The sequence below is a fragment of the Homo sapiens genome, chromosome 2 (assembly GCF_000001405.40).
Source record: "Homo sapiens chromosome 2, GRCh38.p14 Primary Assembly".
NCBI classification, from domain to species: domain Eukaryota; kingdom Metazoa; phylum Chordata; class Mammalia; order Primates; family Hominidae; genus Homo; species Homo sapiens.
The window spans coordinates 58,201,936-58,223,924 of NC_000002.12; the positions used below are offsets into that span (position 1 = coordinate 58,201,936).

At 34.7% G+C, this 21,989-nt stretch overlaps 1 protein-coding gene across 19 annotated transcripts in view, besides 1 other annotated feature; it reads right to left on the minus strand.

Moving 5' to 3' along the window:
* The window catches only part of FANCL (FA complementation group L), an 82,138-nt gene that overhangs the window by 42,693 nt on the left and 17,456 nt on the right, over positions 1-21,989 (minus strand). For 11 of the 19 annotated variants that reach the window (NR_164659.2, XR_007077528.1, XM_011532939.4 and 8 more), the window contains exons 5-6: positions 20,007-20,107; positions 2,195-2,291 (exon numbers count right to left, since the gene is read on the minus strand). The exons of 2 other annotated variants lie outside the window; for them this stretch is intronic. Coding sequence is in view for 14 of the 17 variants with exons in the window: in XM_011532939.4 (XP_011531241.1) it covers positions 2,195-2,291; positions 20,007-20,107 (198 nt within the window). In the remaining 3 variants the exon portion in view is untranslated. The remainder of the gene's footprint in view (positions 1-2,194; positions 2,292-20,006; positions 20,108-21,989) is intronic. 6 more of the 19 variants (NR_156742.2, XM_047444856.1, XM_017004416.2 and 3 more) reach the window with 1 other exon arrangement.
* Positions 5,243-6,158: an enhancer, noted in NCBI's record as "OCT4-NANOG hESC enhancer chr2:58434313-58435228 (GRCh37/hg19 assembly coordinates)". NCBI's record gives its function as "activates a minimal SCP1, AML or CMV promoter by ChIP-STARR-seq in naive H9 embryonic stem cells {active_cell/tissue: H9 hESC(naive)}" and the evidence as "EXISTENCE:reporter gene assay evidence [ECO:0000049][PMID:30033119]".

The following is a 21,989-nucleotide window of genomic DNA, read 5'->3' on the forward strand; positions in this document are numbered from 1 at the left end:
TGAAAAAAGCCTACTTTGAGGTATGTTATTAATAAAAAAAATTCAGCATTCCACTTAAAACTTAGTTTGGATTAAGATTTTGCATAATATACTCTTAACATACAGTTAACGTTTCAACTATTAGTGTAGTTGACTGACAATCGCAGGCCCAATTTCTTTTTTTTTCCCTAAAATTTTTGTTTCCTAAAATATTTTTCAGTTAATATTCCTATATGTGGAGTTTTTGTTGTTGTAAATTACTTTTGAAAGTAAAAGTTTGACAATTAGTTGCTGGTGGTTTTATATATACCTATACCTTTTTCCTAAAAAAAAAAAAAAAAAAAAAAGACTTCCTGGTTTTCTTCAAATTCTCATGTTTCCCCAGTGATTACTAGGTAAATGATTAATATGCTGAACTTGTTTATTCTACTTATTTGTCCAAATTCACAATCTAGAACTAACTTTTTTTTCCTAAAAAAAAAAATTATCACATCTCAAAGACAGCTATGGTGTATATATGAAAGCTAAGCTAAATTGAGAAATAAAGATTCTAATAAATCATACCAACATAAGATTCAGTTACATGCTTTTGTTTTTCCAAAACAGTTTTTTTTTTCTTTTTTTGCCAAATTCCTTCCCAGCTTAAATAAAGCTTTCTCTTCTCTTTTGCAAGAATATCTATAAAAGTGCTTCGTAACTACAGATGTTGCAAAACTGACCCTGGAAAATATTCTCCAGAGAAATACTAAAAGCATCATCTTATCTACCTTGAAAAAGTATAGAAAAAAGCAGACAAAATGGACCATATTAAATTGTCACAACCTCACTCTGAATACTGCCAATAAATGAACTAAATGTCATCAACTTGGATTAAAATCTTGTAGGTATAGTTAAAGGCAGCACAAATTTACAGCAACATCTTCTTAGGAAGTAGAAGAGCTTGTAAAAATGAGGACAGGGTGTATTTAAAATCTTTAGTTTTGGTCTTCATAGAAAAACGGCTAATTTTACTAAGGTACAAAATATAAACAAATAGAGCTTTGAAGGAAATGACAGAACCCTTGCCACTGGCAACATGTGACCCTTTGGAAGGATAAAGGCAAATTTCTCTTAAAAAAAAAAAAAAAGCACACTTTTACAAACTAAAAAATAAAAATCTTTTCAATTTAATAAAAATAATTATCTAACTTATTTTACAAATAATGAGATTTCCATCCCACTAATTTTTTCCAAGACTTATCACATATGGATCTTAAAATTAGACCTACATACATATTCTGTGTGTGAGAGAATTAGTCATTTCTCAACCTGTCTGTTATAGAACCACTATAAGATATCAACTTTTCTGTGTCATCCAGTACAGCTTTAGATATTAATTTTCTCTTGTGGAAAGCTTAAATGCCAGACACATTTTTAAAAAGGACAAACACAATTGATCTTTTCATCACTACAATCTTCTGAAAAAGAGTTGATTGATTGACTCCAAGAATAATTAAAAAAAAAAAGTTGGACATCCTGGTTTTCTTCAAATTCTCATGTTTCTCCAGTGATTACTAGGTAAATGATTAATATGCTAAACTTGTTTATTTTACTTATTTGTCCAAATTCACAATTTAGAACTAAAAAATAAAGATGAAACAACCATGTTTTGTGCCAATAAAATTTGTGATTATAGATCACTATCCTATAAGGGATCTATAAATAGAGGCATAACCTCTGCAAATTCTTAAAATACTTAAAAAACCCCAGCCAAAGCAAACAAACTATAAAAAAGTATGCATATATGTTGTTTGTGTTAGGGAGTGGGGATCACAGATAAGAATAAGAACTACAAAAGAAATTTATAGTAACAGCTGAATGCAAAAGATTTTCTCAGTACAACTTGGGATAGTGGAAGTGTCCACTGTCTTCTACATGTTACATGTAGGATGTTACAAAATTAACACCATGGTACTCTGAGTCTATAAAATTGTAACTGTAGTATTTGTTATAAAGTCTGTATTTTGAGCAAATTTGGACTAAAATATGACATAAAACTGTCTAGGCTTTTGGAAACGTGGTGAATAAATTCTTTGAGGCTTTCCAAAATCAATGTTTTAAAGCATGATATATGTATTTTTAGATGTAACTAGCACTTCTTTACATTGAGAGCATTCACAGAGTTCATTTCACAAAGTATTTTCTGATCACAATAACAGTTTAACGAGGCACATACCTTTGCCTTCAACTTGAGAGTGATTAAATGCTCTCTACCAGAAGCATCTTCTGCTTTTAACTTGATGGTACTGAAGCAGGTATCCGCATACACAAGTCTGGTGAGCAGAGGAGAATAAAAAATGATCACACCGGGGAGAGCTGGAGAGGGGAACTGGAGATGGTTGAATTTGAAATGAAAATATTTGCTATATTCCTATTAATCCATTATAAAAATCAGAGCAATTTCTGCATGCCAACCCTTTCTGCTGCTATAGATTTACTGCCGTTCATATACCAGCCTAGCACTTAATGCAGTCATATATCTCTGGATTATTTACAATGTGTGTCAAGGCTCATGCTGTGGTCAGTGAGCACTATGTTTCAGTTTTCCATCACTGGAACCTTTGGCACACACAGCATGTTCCTGTCAGCCTCTACTTATGTACACATTAAACTTCCTGTCAAACTCTTTGATCCATTTCTGTAGTTTCATACAGTATGAGACTTTAATGCTCCCTTTGTTTTTCTCCTCAATGAACTTCTCCTATATTATCAATAATGTTACCGTACAAAAATCTAGCTGGTATTTGTTCATATACTCAAATTGATCCTCTAAGGAAAATGCTGTATAAGCACAGGTACAGCCTGGTCTCCTAACAATAAATTTTCTTTCTGCACGATATATAGCTTCTGACACTTAACCTATGCATGTATTCAAGATGACTAATATTCTAAACATATAGCACAAGCACAACTGCTTTGGCTTTAAGTTACCCTAAATGCATGAATTTTCTACAATGGAAACCAATATCCTTTGAAATATATAATTCTGTAAAAATACGGTCCCTTGAGTAGCATAAGCTACTGCCAAAAAGGTTCAAATTTAGCAGTATATTTACTAGTGAACTGGGCATATGGATATTTTTGACATTTTTACAATGCTATTCTCTTATAAAGATAAAAAGTAGTCTAAGAGTATTGCAAAACTTATCACCCAGGCTGATAGTAAGACCCATTGGAGTTCAGAATATAAGCCTCCTAACTTAGGAAATATATTTTTTAATATCACTATATGCCATTTAGATACTGACCAGGTACTATATAATGATAACATGGGCTAATTTCAAGAAATGCACAATGAAGTTGTGAAACACTGTAATGAAAATATGTCTAAATCTGAAGATATCTATCTTCAATAATACAATGGAAATTTTATCATAATCTGTAGAAAGTCTAGGGTCTTAGAAAACAAAACTATTCTAGAAAGTGTTTTATACACATAAAAATAACAATGACTATATTTTCTTTCAGCTATATCTGTAAATGCTTCACCTCCAAAAAAAATTAGAATGTCTTTATCACGTTTTACCATATGACTCTGAAGTTCAGATATATCAATACCTGACTCTTAAAACTCCCACACTTCAGATTCAAGATGTTAAGCACATGCATTTATATTCTCTACTTCCAGAAAAATTAATCATTTAAAAAATGTTTCAAAGGTATAAACCTACAGTTACAAAAAAAGAAGAAGGAATAGTATTAATTGAAGCAAACTTCAACAACTTTTAGGAAAATGTAGAGTAGTTAAAAGAGCACTGGCTGATAAAACAGAAAAGAAGAGAGAACAAGGACTCCAGGCAGAAACAGCTGGCAAAAATGCAGTGTTCAGGATAGAGAGTATGACTGATATACTGGCAGAAATTATGGGAATTTTTAAGTGCATGATAAAAGGGGGAAGAAGAAACTTTAAACCAAATTATAAACAATAAAACTGCATTAAAAATGGTAATTACTCTGCCACTAACTTTTCAGTTAAAAATATTTATGTAGTCGTAAAAAATTAAACTGTTACTAGTTACAATTTTTAGAATCCAAGAATACGCAATGCTAAAAGACTTAATTATAGTTATAGAGACTAATGTAAATATATTTGACTACTACAATTTAAAATGAAGAATTGACAAAAATTGGGAAGTAGAAATGGGAAAGATACCAGAATGGAAAATTAGAAACAATAAAATCTGTAATTGCTAATTTGAAAGTCAAGAGATACCATCTTTAATTGAATGGACGTGAAAGAGGTTTAAGAAACAGTAAAGCTAATGGAAAAATAAAAAAGAAAAGCAAAAGAGAAATAATACATTAGCTAAATTCTTTTTCATTAATCAGTTCATAATTCCTAAAAAATAAAGAAATATTGCATGTAGGCAGATTATTTAGAAACATGGAAGTTGTAAACATGAATATTTCAAAGTATTTGTCTCAAAGAATAAGACTGGGGATAGAAAATAATATGGGAGACTGCTTTTCTTTATAAGCCTTAAATAGTTCATAACCATGATGAATATAAAGAGGGAGAGAGAAGGCATGCACGTTTAAGAGGGGTGGAAGAAAAAACTACATCACCACCTACTACTTTCTGTACTTCACATTGTTGCTCACCATCACAATGTTTAAAATCATTTTTTAACATCTATAAAATAACACAGAAATAAAAGCTCTTTAGTTCTTTGTTTGTAATCACATAACATAAAATTATCATCATCCCACAATGTAAGTCAGAGAGGTAATACACTACAGAAAAAGTGCCACGCTCAAAAATATGGCCTGTAAGCCAAAATGGCCATGAGGTTGATTTTGTTAAACTTTAAGACGCAATTTAAATAAAGCAGTAAAAAACATTTATACTTTCAGATTAATATCAGCATGGCCATTTAAAATCAAGGTACATTTTACCCATGCTGCTTCCTGGTCACTTTGTTTGGGGCACAGAAAGAAACCTTACTGTGATTATTAATAGGTTGAGTATATGCGACCTTGATTGTCAATTGCCCTCTAGTATTTAACTTACCTTCTCCAGTTTGGTAATAGGATCCCTGCCCCCACTCAACTCTCAATAAAACCAAGTTTTAGCAGGATCCACTTCACCCAGCTAGTGACTTGTCCTAGCTGCCCTTGCAAGGAGGTGTTGGCATATAACTACATTTTGGCCAGTGGACTACAAGCACAAGTGATGTGTGCTTTTGGGGGTTCATTTATAACAGAACTATGCTTTCCTCTCTTCCCTCCTCTTACTCTCCTTTCCTGTAGACTACAATTTGGACAGGCCAATATGAGCTAGCAAAGATCATGAGGACAGGAACAACACTCTATAAAGCAGTAACCAACACAACACTCTGTGATGATGAAGGTATGACATATCTGCACTGTTTAAAACGGTAGCCACCAGCCACGTGTCTATGAGGGACTCAAAATGTGGCTAGTGGGTTTTTTAGTTAAGTTAATTTAAATGTAAATGTCAATAGCCACACATGGCTACTGAACAATGCAGTCACAGCGGATGGCTGAGAAACAAAAGAAACCTGGATTCTTGAATGTCCTTGTGAAGAGAGGCACCAACCCACTCTTGACCATCTGCCTACCTCTGAATTGTTAAATGAGAGATGAATAAAATTCTACCTTGTTTCAACTACTGAGGATTTACATTTCTCTTTGTTAATAGTGGCCTAGCCTATGATATAACTAATAGAGACTATTTGTATCAATTTATGACAGAAAAAAATATCTTGGTGTTTGGTGTATGGAAGAGATCTTAAAGGAAAAAAAGAGTGATAAACTCTTACAAGTGGTATCAAATCAGTTTGTCTAAGGAAGTCTGTTTCATGTCGGGCATAATGACTCATGCCTATAATCCCAGCACTCTGGGAAGCTGAGGGGAGGATTACTTGAGCCCAAGAGTTCAAGACCAGCCTGGGCGACACAGTGAGACCTCATCTTTACAAAAATCTTTTTAAAACTAACTCGTCATGGTGGCGTGCACCTGTAGTTCCAGCTATTCAGGAAACTGAGGCAGAAGGTTTGCTTGAGCTGAAAAGTTTGAGGTTGCAGTGAGCTATGATGGCACCACTGCACTCTGGCCTTGGTGAAAGACAGAGACCATGTCACTAAATTTTTTTTAAGTCTATGTTAAGTTGGACGTCTCACTTTAGACAACAGGAAATAAATAACTTTCATTCACTTAAATAAAATATAAATCATTCAAATAATGATTTAGGAAACAATCATCATTGGAAAGCTCAAATTTTTAAATAAAATGCTAGCAATAAGCCCACAAAATAAGAATTAAGATTTGTATTTAGAAGGAGTTTAGATATTATCACTAAGCTAAGCATATTCTAAAATTGACAAAGCAAATATAAAACTGAAGTATAAAATCTAAAGAAATAAAATATTTTACTTTTGGCACTCCACTTTGTATTTATCATTTGCTATATTTCTTTATAAGTTAAATTTTTTAAACATTTAAAATGTTTGTTAATAATAAAGCTTCAGGGATGTTTTTGTTGTTGTCCCTGTTAATAGCTGAATGTCAACAAGTAAAACAAAGTAGAAGAAATGTGTTTTACATAGCTCATAAAATACTGCACTTATATTGACCAAGAGTTTAAGTTATTTAGCTTTTATTTTCTTTAGCCATCTAGATGCATTTAAGTAGTATTAACATCAACAGGCAGACTGCTTCAAAAGACAGACTGAAGACCTTCATGTTTGAATAAAGCATCCAAGTTTCCACTTTTATTGCCACTCTCAAGTTTAAGCATTAACTACTTCATATCTGGATTACTAGAAACAATCTTCCTAATGCGTGTCTTTACTTCGTCTCTGTACACCAATCCATTCTGCCTTCTGTGTCTAATCTTCCTAAATACATTTTTAATCATATCAATCCCTTGCTCAAAAATATTCAATGAGTCCCTATCACCTGCATATAGAGAATCATTAGCCTCGTAGTCAAGACCCCTCTGTTTAGCCCTAATATGTTAATCCCCTTATGTGAGCCACTGATCTACTCCAAAGTCAAAAAATAAATTGCACATTTCTATTGCTACAACCTTGCCTTCACCATTCCTTCCCTTTAAAGGCTCTGTATATTCCTTCAAAGCTTATCCCAACATTCATCTCCTCTAAGAACTCTCCTAAATTATTTGTAGCCCAAAATGCTTCAAATTCCTCCAAACTCACATTGCTCCTTTTCATGTAAGTTTTAGCTTGCCAAACACATAATAAACTTTTTAATAAGGAATATGAAAGCTTTATATTCCTATGTATGTGTCAGTGTACCATGTTCCATGTATATATGACAATGTAGAGGATGTTGTCAGACTGGTTCACATTTACTGATTCATGTGTAAGTTTCAAACAATAGCTGAAAGCAAACTGTTTTAATTAAATACTGTTAAGCATATTACCAACCTAGAAAAACATGATTTTTTTTTTACTACTAGATAATTTGCAGTTATTCAATGACATGGATTTATGTATGAAGAAAAATCATCCTATTTATAAAGGTTTTCAGTTTAACTGAAAACCATACTGGTTAATGTCTATGCTATTATGTTTTACAAAAAATTATCATTATTGGTTGTAATTAAGTCATAACACTAATTAAGTACTATAAAACTCAGAGGCAGTCTGACAGTCAGTTGAACTAGTATCTCAACAACTTGATACACCTACTTTACACTAGGAACTATATGAGTCACATAACATGCCTCTTTGAAATCTTTATTATTAGGCATTATTAGCTTCCTTTAAAAAATGAAAAAATGTGACTTAAAGAGATTAAGTTTGCCCAAGATCACACAGCAGATAAGCAAGAATTAAAGCTCTGGTATAATTATTGGAATGAATTTAGTATGAACAAGGATCTCCATTTCCCCAATATGTTAAAAATCTTCAAATGCATTAACAATTATACAAAATATCACCATTAATCAGCTTCTAAGATAGTGGGCTTAATCAAAAACCTACCAATATATGTTGACAATCTCCCAGTTCGCACATCAGATTTAGTAAAACTCAGTTAGCTCTTTCCCAAGACAAACTTGAAAAGTTCAACTAGTTGAAGTGTACTCACTCTAGACTCTAAATGATAAATAATATATTGTTTAAAAAGGACAAAAGTATCAGCACATTTCTACTAGAACCATTTAACTTCTGAATTATCTAGGAACATATGATTATTACAATAAATGTATCTTATAAAGTGTATTAGTCTGTTTTCATGCTGCTAAGACACACCCAAGACTTGGCAATTTACAAAAGAAAAAGGCTTAATTGGACTCACAGTTCCATGTGGCTGGGGAAGGCTCACAATCATGGTGCAATGCAAGGAGGAACAAGTCCCATCTTACACGGATGGCAGCAAAGACAGAATAAGGAAGATGCAAAAGCAGAAACCCAATAAAACCATCACATCTCATGACACTTATTCATTACCATGAGAACAATATGGGGGAAACCGCCCTCCCACAACACATGAGAACTGTGGGAGTACAATTCAAGATGAGACTTGGGTAGGGACACAGAGTCAAACCATATCATTCTACCCCTGACCCCTCCCCAAATGTCCTCACATTTCAAAACCAATCATGCCTTCCCAACAGGCCCCCCAAAGTCTTAACTTATTTCATCATTAACTCAAAAGTCCACAGTCCAAAGTCTCATCTAAGACAAGGCAAGTCTCTTCCACCGATGAGCCTAATAAAATCAAAAGCAAGTTAGTTACTTCCTAGATACAACAGGGGTATAGGCATTCGATAAATACAGCCATTCCAAATGGGAGGAATTGGCCAAAACAAAGGAGCTACAGGCCCCATGCAAGTCCAAAATCCAGCAGGGCAATCAAATCTTAAAGCTCCAAAATGATCTCCTTTGACTCCATGTCTCACATCCAGATCATGCTGATACAAGAGTTGAGTTCCCATGACCTTGGGGAGCTAGACCCCTGTGATTTTGCAGGGTATGGCACCCCCACCCGGCTGAGTTCATGGGCTGGTGTTGAGTGCCTGTGGCTTTTCCAGGCACAGTGTGCAAGCTGTCAGTGGATCTACCATTCTGGGGTCTGGAAGATGGTGGCCCTCTTCTCACAGCTACACTAGGCGGTGCCTCAGTAGGGACTCTGTGTGGGGACTCCAATCCCACACTTCCCTTCCGCATTGTCCTAACAGAGGTTCTCCATGAGGGCCCCACCCCTGCAGCAAACTTCTGCCTGGGCATCCAGGAATTTCCATACATCTTCTGAAATCTAGGCGGAGGTTCTGAAACCTCAGTTCTGGACTTCTGTGCACCCACAGGCTCAACAACATGTGGAAGCTGCCAAGGCTTGGGGTTTGCACCCTCTGCAGCCACGGCCCAAGCTCTACACTGGCCCTTTTCAGCCACAGCTGGAGCAGCTGGGATGCAGGGAACCAAGTCCCTAGCCTGCACACAGTGCTGGGACCCTGTGCCCACTTTTTCCTCCTACACCTCCAGGGCTGTTATGTGAGTGGCTGCCGTGAAGACCTCTGGCATGCCCTGGAGACATTTTCCCCATTATCTTGGGGACTAACATTTGGCTCCTTGTTACTTATGCAAATTTCTGCAGCTGGCTTGAATTTCTGCTCAGAAAACGGGATTTTCTTTTCTATCACATTGTCAGGCTGCAAATTTTTTGAACTTTTATTTTATGCTGTTTCCCTTTTAAAACTAAATGCTTTTAATAGCACCCAAGTCACCTCTTCAATGTTTTGCTGCTTAGAAATTTCTTCCACCAGATACCCTAAATCATCTCTCTCAAGTTCATAGTTCCACATATCTCTAGGGCAGGGGCAAAATACCACCAGCCTCTTTGCTAAAACATAACAAGAGTAACCTTTGCTCCAGTTCCCAACAAATTCCTCACCTCCATCTGAGACCACCTCAGCCTGGACCTTACTGTCCATATCACCATCAGCATTTTGGGCAAAGCCAAGCAACTAGTCTCTAGGAAGTTCCAAACTCTCCCACATTTTCCTATCTTCTGAGCCTTCCAAACCGTTCCAACCTCTGCCTGCTACCCAGTTCCAAAGTCGCTTCCACATTTTCAGGTATCTTCTCAGCAATGCCCCACTCTACTGGTACCAATTTACTGTATTAGTCTGTTTTCATGCTGCTGATAAAGACATACCCAAGATTGGGCAATTTACAAAAGAAAGAGGTTTAATTGGACTTACAGTTCCACATGGCTGGGGAAGCCTCACAATCATGGTGGAAGGCAAAGAGGAGCAAGTCCCATCTTACATGGATGGCAGCAGGCAAAGAGAGAATGAGGAAGATGCAAAAGCAGAAACCCCTGATAAAACCATCAGATCTCCTAAGACTTATTCATTACCATGAGAACAGTATGGGGGAAACTGCCCCCGTGATTAAATTATCTTCCACCGGGTCCCTCCTGCAACACATGGGAATTGTGGGAGTACAACTCAAGATGAGATTTGGGTGGGGACACAGGGGATACAGAACCAAACCATATCATAAAGTGATATGTATTTCTTCCAAACTGGGACATATTTGAGACTGACAGGGGCCAAAACAAAAAGCATAAATTAGGGCTGTCCTAGGCAAAATGGTATGCATGATAAGCTACTCAAAGCAAAAGTATTTGGTACTTTCAACTCTAGGATACTCTTAATACCAAACAGAAAATCTTGTTAAACACAAAGGACTGTTTAATTCTTATTTTTTTAATAGGCCATTCTGTAAAACAACATGGGCAGAAGTTAACAGAAACCCACCAAGACATCATTTTGTATCACTTACCTTTGTGAGCCAGTGTTACACCCAAAATAACCCAGACCTGTCATACCATCTTCACGTTAACCTTTGGGGAAGTTGCTGTTTTGACTGTGTTTTTATAGAAATTGAAATAAGAACAGAAATTATAACAATAGCAATCAAACTTAAGGTCAACTACTAATTCTCAATATTATTTCCATATTTCTTTCTAAGGAAAGAAAGGGAAGCTTTCATCTTATTTTAAATATTTCTTTTTCTTTTCCAACTTAGAATTTGTATAATGTCTAATCCTATAGAGTTGATTAGAAATACCAAATATGTAATTTAAAAACACAGCAAGGCCAGCATTATCTAACAAGGATTTTTCTGTATCAGATTTTATGATTATACTGACAAATCTACAAGATTATTATTTAGAGTGTAAGGAAAATACAGACTTATTGACAGAGTCTAGAAATCATTAAGATTCTGTAAATACATTTAAATCAATCTGTCATGCAAATCATTGTGTGTGTCATTTCAAAAGATAATTTAAATTAAGAATTTAGCCAGCTCCTCAGGCGGGGCCTTAAACAGTAGCAATTCTAGTATGTGGACAGCACAGTTCAGGTCTCAGCTTTAGATCAGCAGGTCCTGAAACCCAATTTTATCAGTGTATGTGTGTACCAGACCTAATTTAAGAGTTAAGCCATAAAAATAAAGTTGATAGGTTTTGTCACTCTACCAGACAGTAATGGATTAACACAAACAGAATTATCTTCTTTGGCTTCTCACAATCCATGCACACCACTTCTCTTCTGCTAAAACATTCTTTATTTTTAAACAGTATAAAACAAATGATTAAGTAACAGCAGCTAAATCGAAAGTCATTTATTCATCCTAGGCCAGGCATGGCAGCGAACACCTGTTAATCCCAGCATTTTGGGAGGCTGAGGCAGGAGAATCATTTCAGCCCAGGAGTGTGAGACTCGCCTGGGCAATACAGCAAAACCTTGTCTCTTAAAAAAGAAAAAAAAAAAAAAAGAGAGGGAAAAAAAGTCATTCATCCACCTTAGTAACTATAATTAAACTATAATCTTTCACAAATCTACGCAACAGATTTTGAAACTCTCCAAGGGTGTGTTAATTTTGCAAATCGTCCATTTTATTCGTGGTAAGATACTTTTTATTAGTTTCACCCTCAATGTGTGACTATCTCCAGGTAGTTGGGGAGAATTTATTAAAGGCTCCATATCGGAGCTGCCCTATGGGACAACTCTAGGGAGCATCATTCACACAGAATGCCTGAGTGGTGTTATGTACCCAGCCCTGTCTATATACACTTGTTTTATAGAAAAAGTTGGAAATAAAAATATTTATCCTAAAATTTATCCTGAGAAATTAAATAAGAATACATGAAGCACCTAGCACAGTCAGTGGCACACAACAGAAACTTCATAAACAACAGTCCCAGTATGTAACAATCTTAGTGAAAAAAGGAGGCAATTATATTGTGATAAGTGACATATGATAGAGATATTCATATCCTTATTTTTGGCTTTCATCTATTATCGAAGTTAGAAATCTGTTCCTTTTTCTCCTACATTAGAACAATGGGTATAATACAAAGCAAAAGACAACACTTTCTATTTAGCTCACAAAACACTTACTCCATATTTTATATACTTGACTATTTCTCTTATAACTCTCAAGAATCCTATAATTATACTCTACCCTTCTTATCGTGGTCATAATTCAGTATTACTATGATCAACTACCTAAATTCTGACTCTTCCACTAGATATAAGTTCCATGAGGAATCTTTATTGTTGTTGCTCTTGTTGACAGGGTCTCACTGTCACCTAGACTGAAGTGCAGTGGTGTGATCTCAGCTCCCTGCAGCCTCGACCTACCCAGGCTCAAGTGATCCTCCCACCTCAGCCTCCCGAGAAGCTAGGTGCGTACCACCACACCTAATTTATTTATTTATTTATTTTTGTATTTTGTAGACACGGGGTTTCACCATGTTGCCCAGGTTGGTCTCAAACTCCTGAGCTCAAGTGATCTGCCCCACCTCAGCCCCCCAAAGTACTGGGATTACAGGTGTGAGCCACCACACCTGGCCCATGAGGAATCTTAAGTCTTGCCTTATGTATCCTTAGTGCTTTACATTATAGGAAGTCCATAAATATTATTAGCAGGGTAAAAAAATGAGTGATTCAAAAATCTCATATCACATCCTTAACGCTTCAACTGATTTTTCTTATTGCACTTCTCTCAACCATGTCAGATCCACTGAGGTAGGCTGCCTCAAACTCACCATCTCAATACAACAGAAATAAAACTAGAACATTTCCTCTGTCCTTGACAAACCCTTTCTACATTTCCAACTATGCTCTAAAAAACAAATATTAACATTAAGCATCTGAAGATAAGTCAAAATAATATTTCTTTATTCCATCAATCTATACCTAAAGAATGACTAGGTCCATGACATCAATGCCTCAAAACTAATCATAACCTCAGCAGGAACTGCTGCTAGGGCATCTCAACTTTTTGCTTGTCTTCCCTGTCTCTCCTCACCATTGTTATGCTTAATTTTATTTAAAAGGCTCCAACCATCCCAAATCCTACTCAAGACTAATGTCTTAATAAATAAAGCCTAATCTCATGAATAAATATCAACCAGTCCTCAATATCATAATATAGTACACTTACAATTATATGTAACATCTATTTCTGGCCTAAATGGAATAGCTTGCTAAAGACCAACACTTCTACAGTGAACAACTAAAGTAGGCTGATAAAAAGAAAATGGGGGAAAAAAATTGAAAGCATCAAAGAATTGCTAAACTGACCAGGCCTTGAAGGGCCAAAGTCCTAAAGAAGAGGGAACAGAAGTGAAGTAAGCCAACATTCTGAAGCCATTTTCCTCAATATATTTATCAATTCTGGCACAGGGCAAGAGAAGAAGGATCTGGGCAAAGAGCCCAGATTGAGAGCTGCTATTAAGTGGCAAAAAAAAAAAAAAGCATCATTTCCGCCAATCTCTTGAGGATAGAGAGAGAAAAATAACAGACTGGAAAGGCCAGAATCTGGGGAAAGGTAGGCCCAGAACCTGGCCTAACATTCTGCCAATATTCCCTCAAAACTTCTGATAAATCCTTAAACTGTAGGGAATAAGAGGATAAAAAGTCAAGCAGAAAGGCAATGAAAAACAAGATTTAGAAAGTTCATAATACAAGGAGAAATTAATTGGAATTCAGGGCCTACCAGTGAGACAAAGTCTCAGTGAATACCCCAGGATCTCTGTGGGAACTCTTGAAAGACTGCTCCTAAAAGCAATGCTAACAAAAAGTGATAGAGCTTTGTCAAAAATGGACCCCAAACTGTAATTGAGAGGTCTTGTGGAGACACAAAGGTTAGAGTTTAGGATCTACCAGGGGGGAAATCCCAATGAATATACCTGGCTCTTGCTTGGAAGCTCTAAAGGGTTATAGCTTGAGACAGGAAGGGCAGCAATCAGAGGTAGACTGACCTCTATGAAAACTACAACCCATCCTGAACCCACTTGGGCCCTTTGCCAATCTGTTCCCAGTCTATCTTCCCAGGAAGAGAAAAGCTAAACCCTGTACAGAAGAAAATAATATCATCTGGGGCCTCTAAACTATTTTATGTGCAATATCCAACAGTAAACATAGCACTACATAGCACTGAAGTCTGAATAGCCAAGGGCAAATGCAGCAGGGGCAATGAGAAAAGGTACACTAACTAGTATGCCTCCAAATTAAGCCAGTTTCCTCATTTATCTCCTTTCACCAGTTCTTTTGAAAGAAAGAATAGTTACCTTATTGAGCAGAGACAAGATTTAAGATTTTACATTTTTTGTTACAGAACATTTCAATTCTGTATTGAATCAGTTATGAAAATAAAGAAAAGTAGAGAAAAACCCTTTAGTTTTCAAAAAGTATTAGGGATGCCAAAATATAAGATCATATGACAATAAACCATACACAAAAAAGTGAAAACAGAATGCACACTGTCCACCTTCCCATTCACACACAGGTACCTTCATACCTTGACCTCTGACCTCACCTACAACTGGGATGTACCTAGAGATGTGGGGTAGTTCTCCTTACCGCCCAGGTTGGAATCCAAGCACGGGGGTAAAGCGGGTGAGGAGAAGAGGCTCGCTTCTCTACCATCCTTCATGATTCCTGACCCCCCAATCCTTTTTCCCATTTCCTTTGATGTTATTTTATTACAGCTTTTTAAATATTTTTAAAAAATTATTTAACCCTTGGCAGCAGAGACTAAGGAGGGGAATAAGGAATTGCAGACTCTGTATGACTGAAATAAAGAGAAATAAAAACAACAGAAAGGGATCCAGAATACAGGACTTTGAAAAAAATACACACACACACACATTACATATATATATATTTTTATATATAGATTTATATATATATTTATATATTTTATATATATATATATATATATATATATATATATATATATATATATATATACACACACACACACACACACACACACACATATATATGTTTGGCTAAAACAAGAGGAATTTATTCTCTCATAGTTCTGGAGGCCAGGGGTTCCACATCTGTTCACTGGGCAAAAATCAAGGTGTCAGCAAAGATGTGCTCCCTCTGGAGGCTCTAGGAGAGAATCTATTCCTTGCCTCTTCCAGTTTCTGGTGGCTGCCAGCAAGAAAAATATTTTAAAACTATGAAAGAAAATAGAGAAAAAGAGGAAGAATTTCAATACAGCATTAAAATCTGTTTTAAAAAAATGCAAATGGTAAAGAGCAGTTTTTAAAATATGTAACTAATTAGCTTGTGTAGTTATAACAAAGTAGACATTAAGACAAGAATATTTCTAGAGATGAAAAGAAACATGTCCTAATAACAAAAGGGAAAACCAACAAGGAAGATATAGCAATTATAAATCTGTATGTACCCAATAACATGACTGCAAATAGACATAAAGCAAAATTTTGAGGAACAAAAACAATTCCAAAAATTCACAATCATATTGGGAGAATTTAACACAGCTCTCTCCAGAGCTCTCAGGACAAGCGGACAAAAAAAAAAAATAAATCATTAAACATATTGGATATCTGACACACATAATTAATAAATGTGAGGAATGAATAAAAGCAAAGCACTGTACCCAACAAGAGATTACATACTCTTCTTAAGTGGAAATAGAACACATACCAAAATTGACAAGGTGCTGGGTCATAAAGCAAGCCTCAGTAAACTTCAAAGTATTGAGATAATTAAAAGGATGATTTCTGACAAAAGTAGACTTAAACTGGAACTCAATAACCCAAAAATCTCCAGTTGTTTGAAAATTAAGAGATATACTAAATAAGTCAAAAGAAATCACAATGAAAATTAATATTTTTAACTGATAGTAATAGAAATATAACATCAAAACTTACGGGATCAAGCTAAAATTGCTTACAAATTTACAGCCTTAAATTAATATATAATAAAGTAAGATAAACTGGAAAAAAATCAATGACCTACATATCCATCTCAACAAATTACAAAGGAAGCAAATCTAAAAAAATTAAATTCTTAATAAGCAGATATTAATGATAAAAAAATATACAACAGAGAAAATTAACAACGCTAAAAGTTGGGTCTTTGAAAAAACTTAAATAATTGATATGGCTCTTGCAAAACTGATTAAGAAAAATTAAAAAGGCACAAAAAACTCATGTGGAAAGAAAAAGGCAGCATCACTATAGATCCTAAAATCATTTTTTAAAATGAACGTAGGATGAAACAGAGAATGTGACAAAACAATCTGTGTTACAAATATGGGAAAGAAGTACATTGAAGTGGGTGGAGGAAATGGTTCTAACCTAAGTAACTGAAAATGAGTGAAGCCTATAAAGGCAAAAAAAAAAAAACTATAAAAATAAGCATTGTATAGTTGATAAAGTTGTCACCCATGGAGGTACAGATTAATAATTCTGATAGTGCTCTGCACGTATACTGCAACTGAACAATTAAGTAAATGGATAACAGATAATGGGAGCTCGGTTTCTCCCTGTTGGAGTATGAGATTTCAGATATACCAAGCAAGTGGGCTACAAAACTACATATGGTAATGGACTGGAGTTGTAGACATCAGTATAAAATCATGTTTACCTTAATACAGATATAAATGGTTATATACAAAAACATTTACAAGTATGTACACGAGTTAGTATAAACACATTTGTTTTCCATTTTTCAGCTAAGAAGGCCTAGAAACAACAACACACCAATAGCAACAAGCACCCATAGTGCCCACATCCTAGTTTCTAATACCACTCACAAATAAAAGCAACCAGGACTCCTTGGAAAAATGGCTGATTCTAGGAAAGGGCAGGAAATATACAAAATTTCTTTCAGTGCCAGAAAGTAAATACATGCTAAAAAAAAAAAAAAAAAAAAAAAAAAAAAAAATATATATATATATATATATATATATATATATATCCACAATGATGAGGCCTGTCAAAAGGACACAGGAGCCAACTGAAAGAGCTCTCAATGGCCAAAGCTAGAACAAATTGAGCAAGAAAATAAAATAGTATTTGATTATAACCCAAAGTATAAAATAAATATCCATGAGTCCATAGTATTTCAAATAAATGACTGAAAAAACAAATAAATGAGAGGGAACAAAATCTGAGCAGAAAAATTCCAAATCTGTGTAAATACTGTGCCCTAAAGGAGGTGTGAGCGTAACTGCCCACTCCTGAAGTGTGAGCTACATATAGTGACTTCCAAAGAGTAAAGTGTGGAGAGAGAGAAAAAAACAGTAACTTTACGGTGCAGAAACCCGACAAATACTACCTCACCAGGTAATCAAGATCAAGATCAACAGTGATGAGTCACAGAGATAACATGTACCCTTGATATGAAGAGAAGAATCACAGGAGAACAAAAGTCAGGTAAGATTAGCATACAGAAATATAAATCCTATATCCAGCATGGCTCTAAAAAGTGTGCCAAAAATTTGACTCTAAATTTCCTAGAGGCCAAGTCAAAGAGAACATAGTCAATTACATAGTTCACATTATTCATTAAGTGGCAGGTTGGATAGTCAGGCAAAGCATGACTTTTCTAGCATCTGAAACAGAATAAAACTTCTTTCATGGCTTCTCATAAAGATAGTGCTATTATCATACAATGGAAGACATCCAAACATAAAATCCCTACTGCATATCTTAGGACTATTTCATACAACATCCTTTAATCCAAGTCAGTGGCATCCTCAAGAGCAATTATACAAGAGAGCAAAATAAAGTAGCTCGGTTCTAATATCCATGGGTAAAACTGAGAAAACATATAAAATAAGATTACAGAGACTTTAAGCAGTCCATCTGCAGTGAAACACTATTACATGCAATCGCGATTTTAGTAAGGTTTTAACAGTTGAAATCCGAGGCTGTAATTTTTATCAAGACCAGGATTTAAATAACTTGGCTCTTAAGTACAGATCGTACACACTTTGACTCTTAATCAGGGAGGCGGTAAGGAAAACGGTAAGGTAAAGAAGTATTCATAAAAAATTAAGTCTACATAAAGTCATGACTGAAGGAATGGCTAACCTATCTCTGCACATAGGTGCACCAAAAGAGGTATGGCCCACTCAGTCAAATTTTAGTGGTTAAAACAAAAGGGAAAAAATTGATCTACACATAAGAAGAGAAACTGTTCTAAATAAAAGCCTTTTAAGGAATATAAAGGGAAGTAGAAGGCAAAGGCAACGAAAATAATTCTTATTTCTGTAATAATCACAGTGCATTTTTATCACCTCTAGAAACAAATTTACATGGGAACAATTTGGAACTCTAAAATATGTTTAAGTCTCTATTTAGTTTTTCTTTAGTTATCAGGTAATGGTATAAAATATATTAAAGGACATATATTCTGCACTTAAGATATGTTCCTTGTTCTCTTTTAAATGGCGATTTGATTTTCTGGTTCTTTTTAGGTTAGTTATCAAAAGGCCAACTCATAGAAAATAGCTAAAAAACAGATGAATAATAAGATGTTTAAAACATATTAAGAAAAACTTAGTGGTGAAAAATTGCACATTCCTTCCACATTGTACCTAAGTTAGCCCTCGATTTATCTTAGTAATAGGGCAATCTAAATGGAAATAATAAATGAATACTAAAATACTATTGATAACGGTTAAGAAGTGATAAGAATTGCCGGGCGTGGTGGCTCACGCCTGTAATCCCAGCACTTTGGGAGGCTGAGGCGGGCGGATCACGAGGTCAGGAGATCGAGACCGATCCTGGCTAACACGGTGAAACCCCGTCTCTACTAAAAATACAAAAAATTAGCCGGTCGTGGTGGCAGGCGCCTGTAGTCCCAGCTACTCGGGAGGCTGAGGCAGGGGAATGGCGTGAACCCGGGAGGCGGAGCTTGCAATCAGCCTAGGCAACAGAGCGAGACTCGGTCTCAAAAAAAAAAAAGTGATAAGAACTAAAAATTGGCATATTTTTACTGGTGCTTTAGCTCAAAGTAGAAAGGTTATAATACACTTAATAATAAATGTAATGTTTCAAAGTATCCACACTAAGAAGGAAGCTAAATTCAGAAACTGAATAGCAAACAAATCATCACATACTTTTTCCAGGTGGTATGTGGATTAAGTTTTAACAACTTGCATACACGTTTACTGAACTTAAGTTTCTTTATGCATCAGTTTTAAAAAAAAAATCATTTTTTTCAAAGAAAGCTGGATGATTCTTACAAACCCTAGTTGCTAAAATTTACCACTCAAATTACAAAAGCACTTATAATGTTATATATATGTAAATTTAGACATGCCAAATTGTATATTAACCAAAAATAACAATTATTCCAGAAATACTGCAATTTTTCCAGTCTCTTTCATGTGTCTCAGCATTACTCTTCAAACATGGAAAATTTAGAATACAGTTGTATGTTCAGTGAAAGTATCTATTACGGTAACATCTTACTGTGTACATAAAAATGTCATTTTTTCCAAATTATATTTAGCATTTTACTTTGTAAGGCAATTTTTTATGATGATATCCCTCTCTTTAATTCACAGCAACAATAAGGATCAAATACTCTAGTTACAATTAAACACTTTGACTAAAATCAGGTATAAACTGCTAAAACTAGAAATACATTAAGTTAAAATATATAAAACAAAGGCATTTAAAACATATTTTAAAACAGACATACTTATCCCAACCAAGAGTTCCTATCTCTTCAATAAGGCTTGAGTAGAACTGGGGAGGAGGAGGTAGTGCATACAGCTCTTGTCTATTCTTTAAGGCAACTTCCTGTTTAAAAGAAGAAAACCTGAATTAGCTGTGGAACGCAAGACAATGAACTGTTAATACCTGATTGCAAAACATAATTTCATTATCTTCTTAGTGCCTAATAAAAGTGCCTGTTTTTTTACGGAAATCTGGCTGACTCATTCCCCTGCTCATGAAAAAGAGACAAGAAAAAGTTAAAGGACTGCACTGAAGGTCATGCAAAATGTCAATTTTTATGCCATGAAAATAACTTGAGATTTTAATATTCTCCTGGACTATTATGCCTATCGGAGATAAAAAAAAAATTTTTATTAAATTCATCCTCAAGGCTTCACTATGGCTCTATTCCCATGAATATGATGTTTGATATATACATTTTTTAAAAAGTACCTCTAAAGAAAGGCCTGAACTCTAAGTACATTACCTAAACTGACATATTTGTATACCATTATGAACCACATCCTAACAAACAAACTCATTATCAGAACAAATATCCACATGCTAATTTTTTTCACTGACTTATACTCTGTACTATTCTTCAAGCAGGTAAGTCGGAGTATTATGCCATCCATCTGGCTAGATTACAGTCCCGTTCCTTGCTAGGCCTATCTATGAAGGCTTTAAAATGTTTATGTTCTCCCAACCAAAACTAAAATTTTTTACAAGACACATAAACATCACTAGAATTGCTGAAGCTAAAATTACCAATTATTTTGAAGTTACCAACCTAGATAGACAGCTTATTTGGAAAGTAAAAATAAATCTATCTACAAATTACTTAGATGTTCATATGGTCTGAAGTATCAAACGGTATTACAAAAAGTAAATAATTAATTAATTAAATAAATCAGCTACAATAAATAACGAAAGTAGATAGGGACAAGTTGAAAATTATAAACACTTCTGAAAAATATAATCCTAATAAAAGGTTGTAATTTTTATTCTTTTAAGTATATGTTTAATCTTATTTTTTAAGTATATATCAATTTTTTTTAACCAGGATAGGACACTATCAAATTGAGATCATATTAGAAAGAACAGATATTACAAAACAGCACTTCAAAACCAAAACTATTAACGGGAACTACTTCAATTTCGTTCTGAATCTGCTTTATGATGAAAAAAAAAAAACAACTGGGAAAACAGATCCGTACAGCTGAGAATATCAATATGGATTTAATTAGAGGGTAAGCTCCTAGAAGACAAAGTATATGCTGCCTTTTTTATAATATAAATGACTAATGTTGCCTAAAAATAGACTGATGGTCCACCAAAATAAATTCGTATTTAGGTTGTGCACCAACCTAATACTATGAAGATTGTGCTCTACTAGTTATTAAATAAAATGCATTAATATAGTATAGTACTTCTTTCAAGATTTGTTTTTATTCTGAAATATTAATTATTGCTATTCACAAAAATTGAAGGTAAAAATAAACCTGGATAATAGTAAAAACACTTTTCAATCTTAGGTTTATGACATTTATACACTCTACCTTCTATTCTGAGTCAGGTAAGTTACTCCTACTGTAGAACCGTAACAGCTAAAAAGGCAAAAGCAGAGAAGCAACATATTCTTCACAGAAAAGAGGCAAAGGTACATAGCGGAAAGGCTTCACAAACAGAAGTTTTAAATACTGACTTTAACAATTCCTATTTTGAGGCCTTAGGCTTCAGTGGCTCAGCTCTAAAATAGAAATAAAATAACCTACCACTTAGGATTATTTTAAATATAGGTAATTGTTCACTTGTTAAATATATACTGAACTCCCACTATATGCAGTAATTACTAGGAAACTCCATGGAAGATTTACAACATTTTCTGAATAAGTTCAATAACTACTGATTTCATGTGAGCATCACTCTCAACATATTTATTGGTGATTATAGTATAGGAACCCTA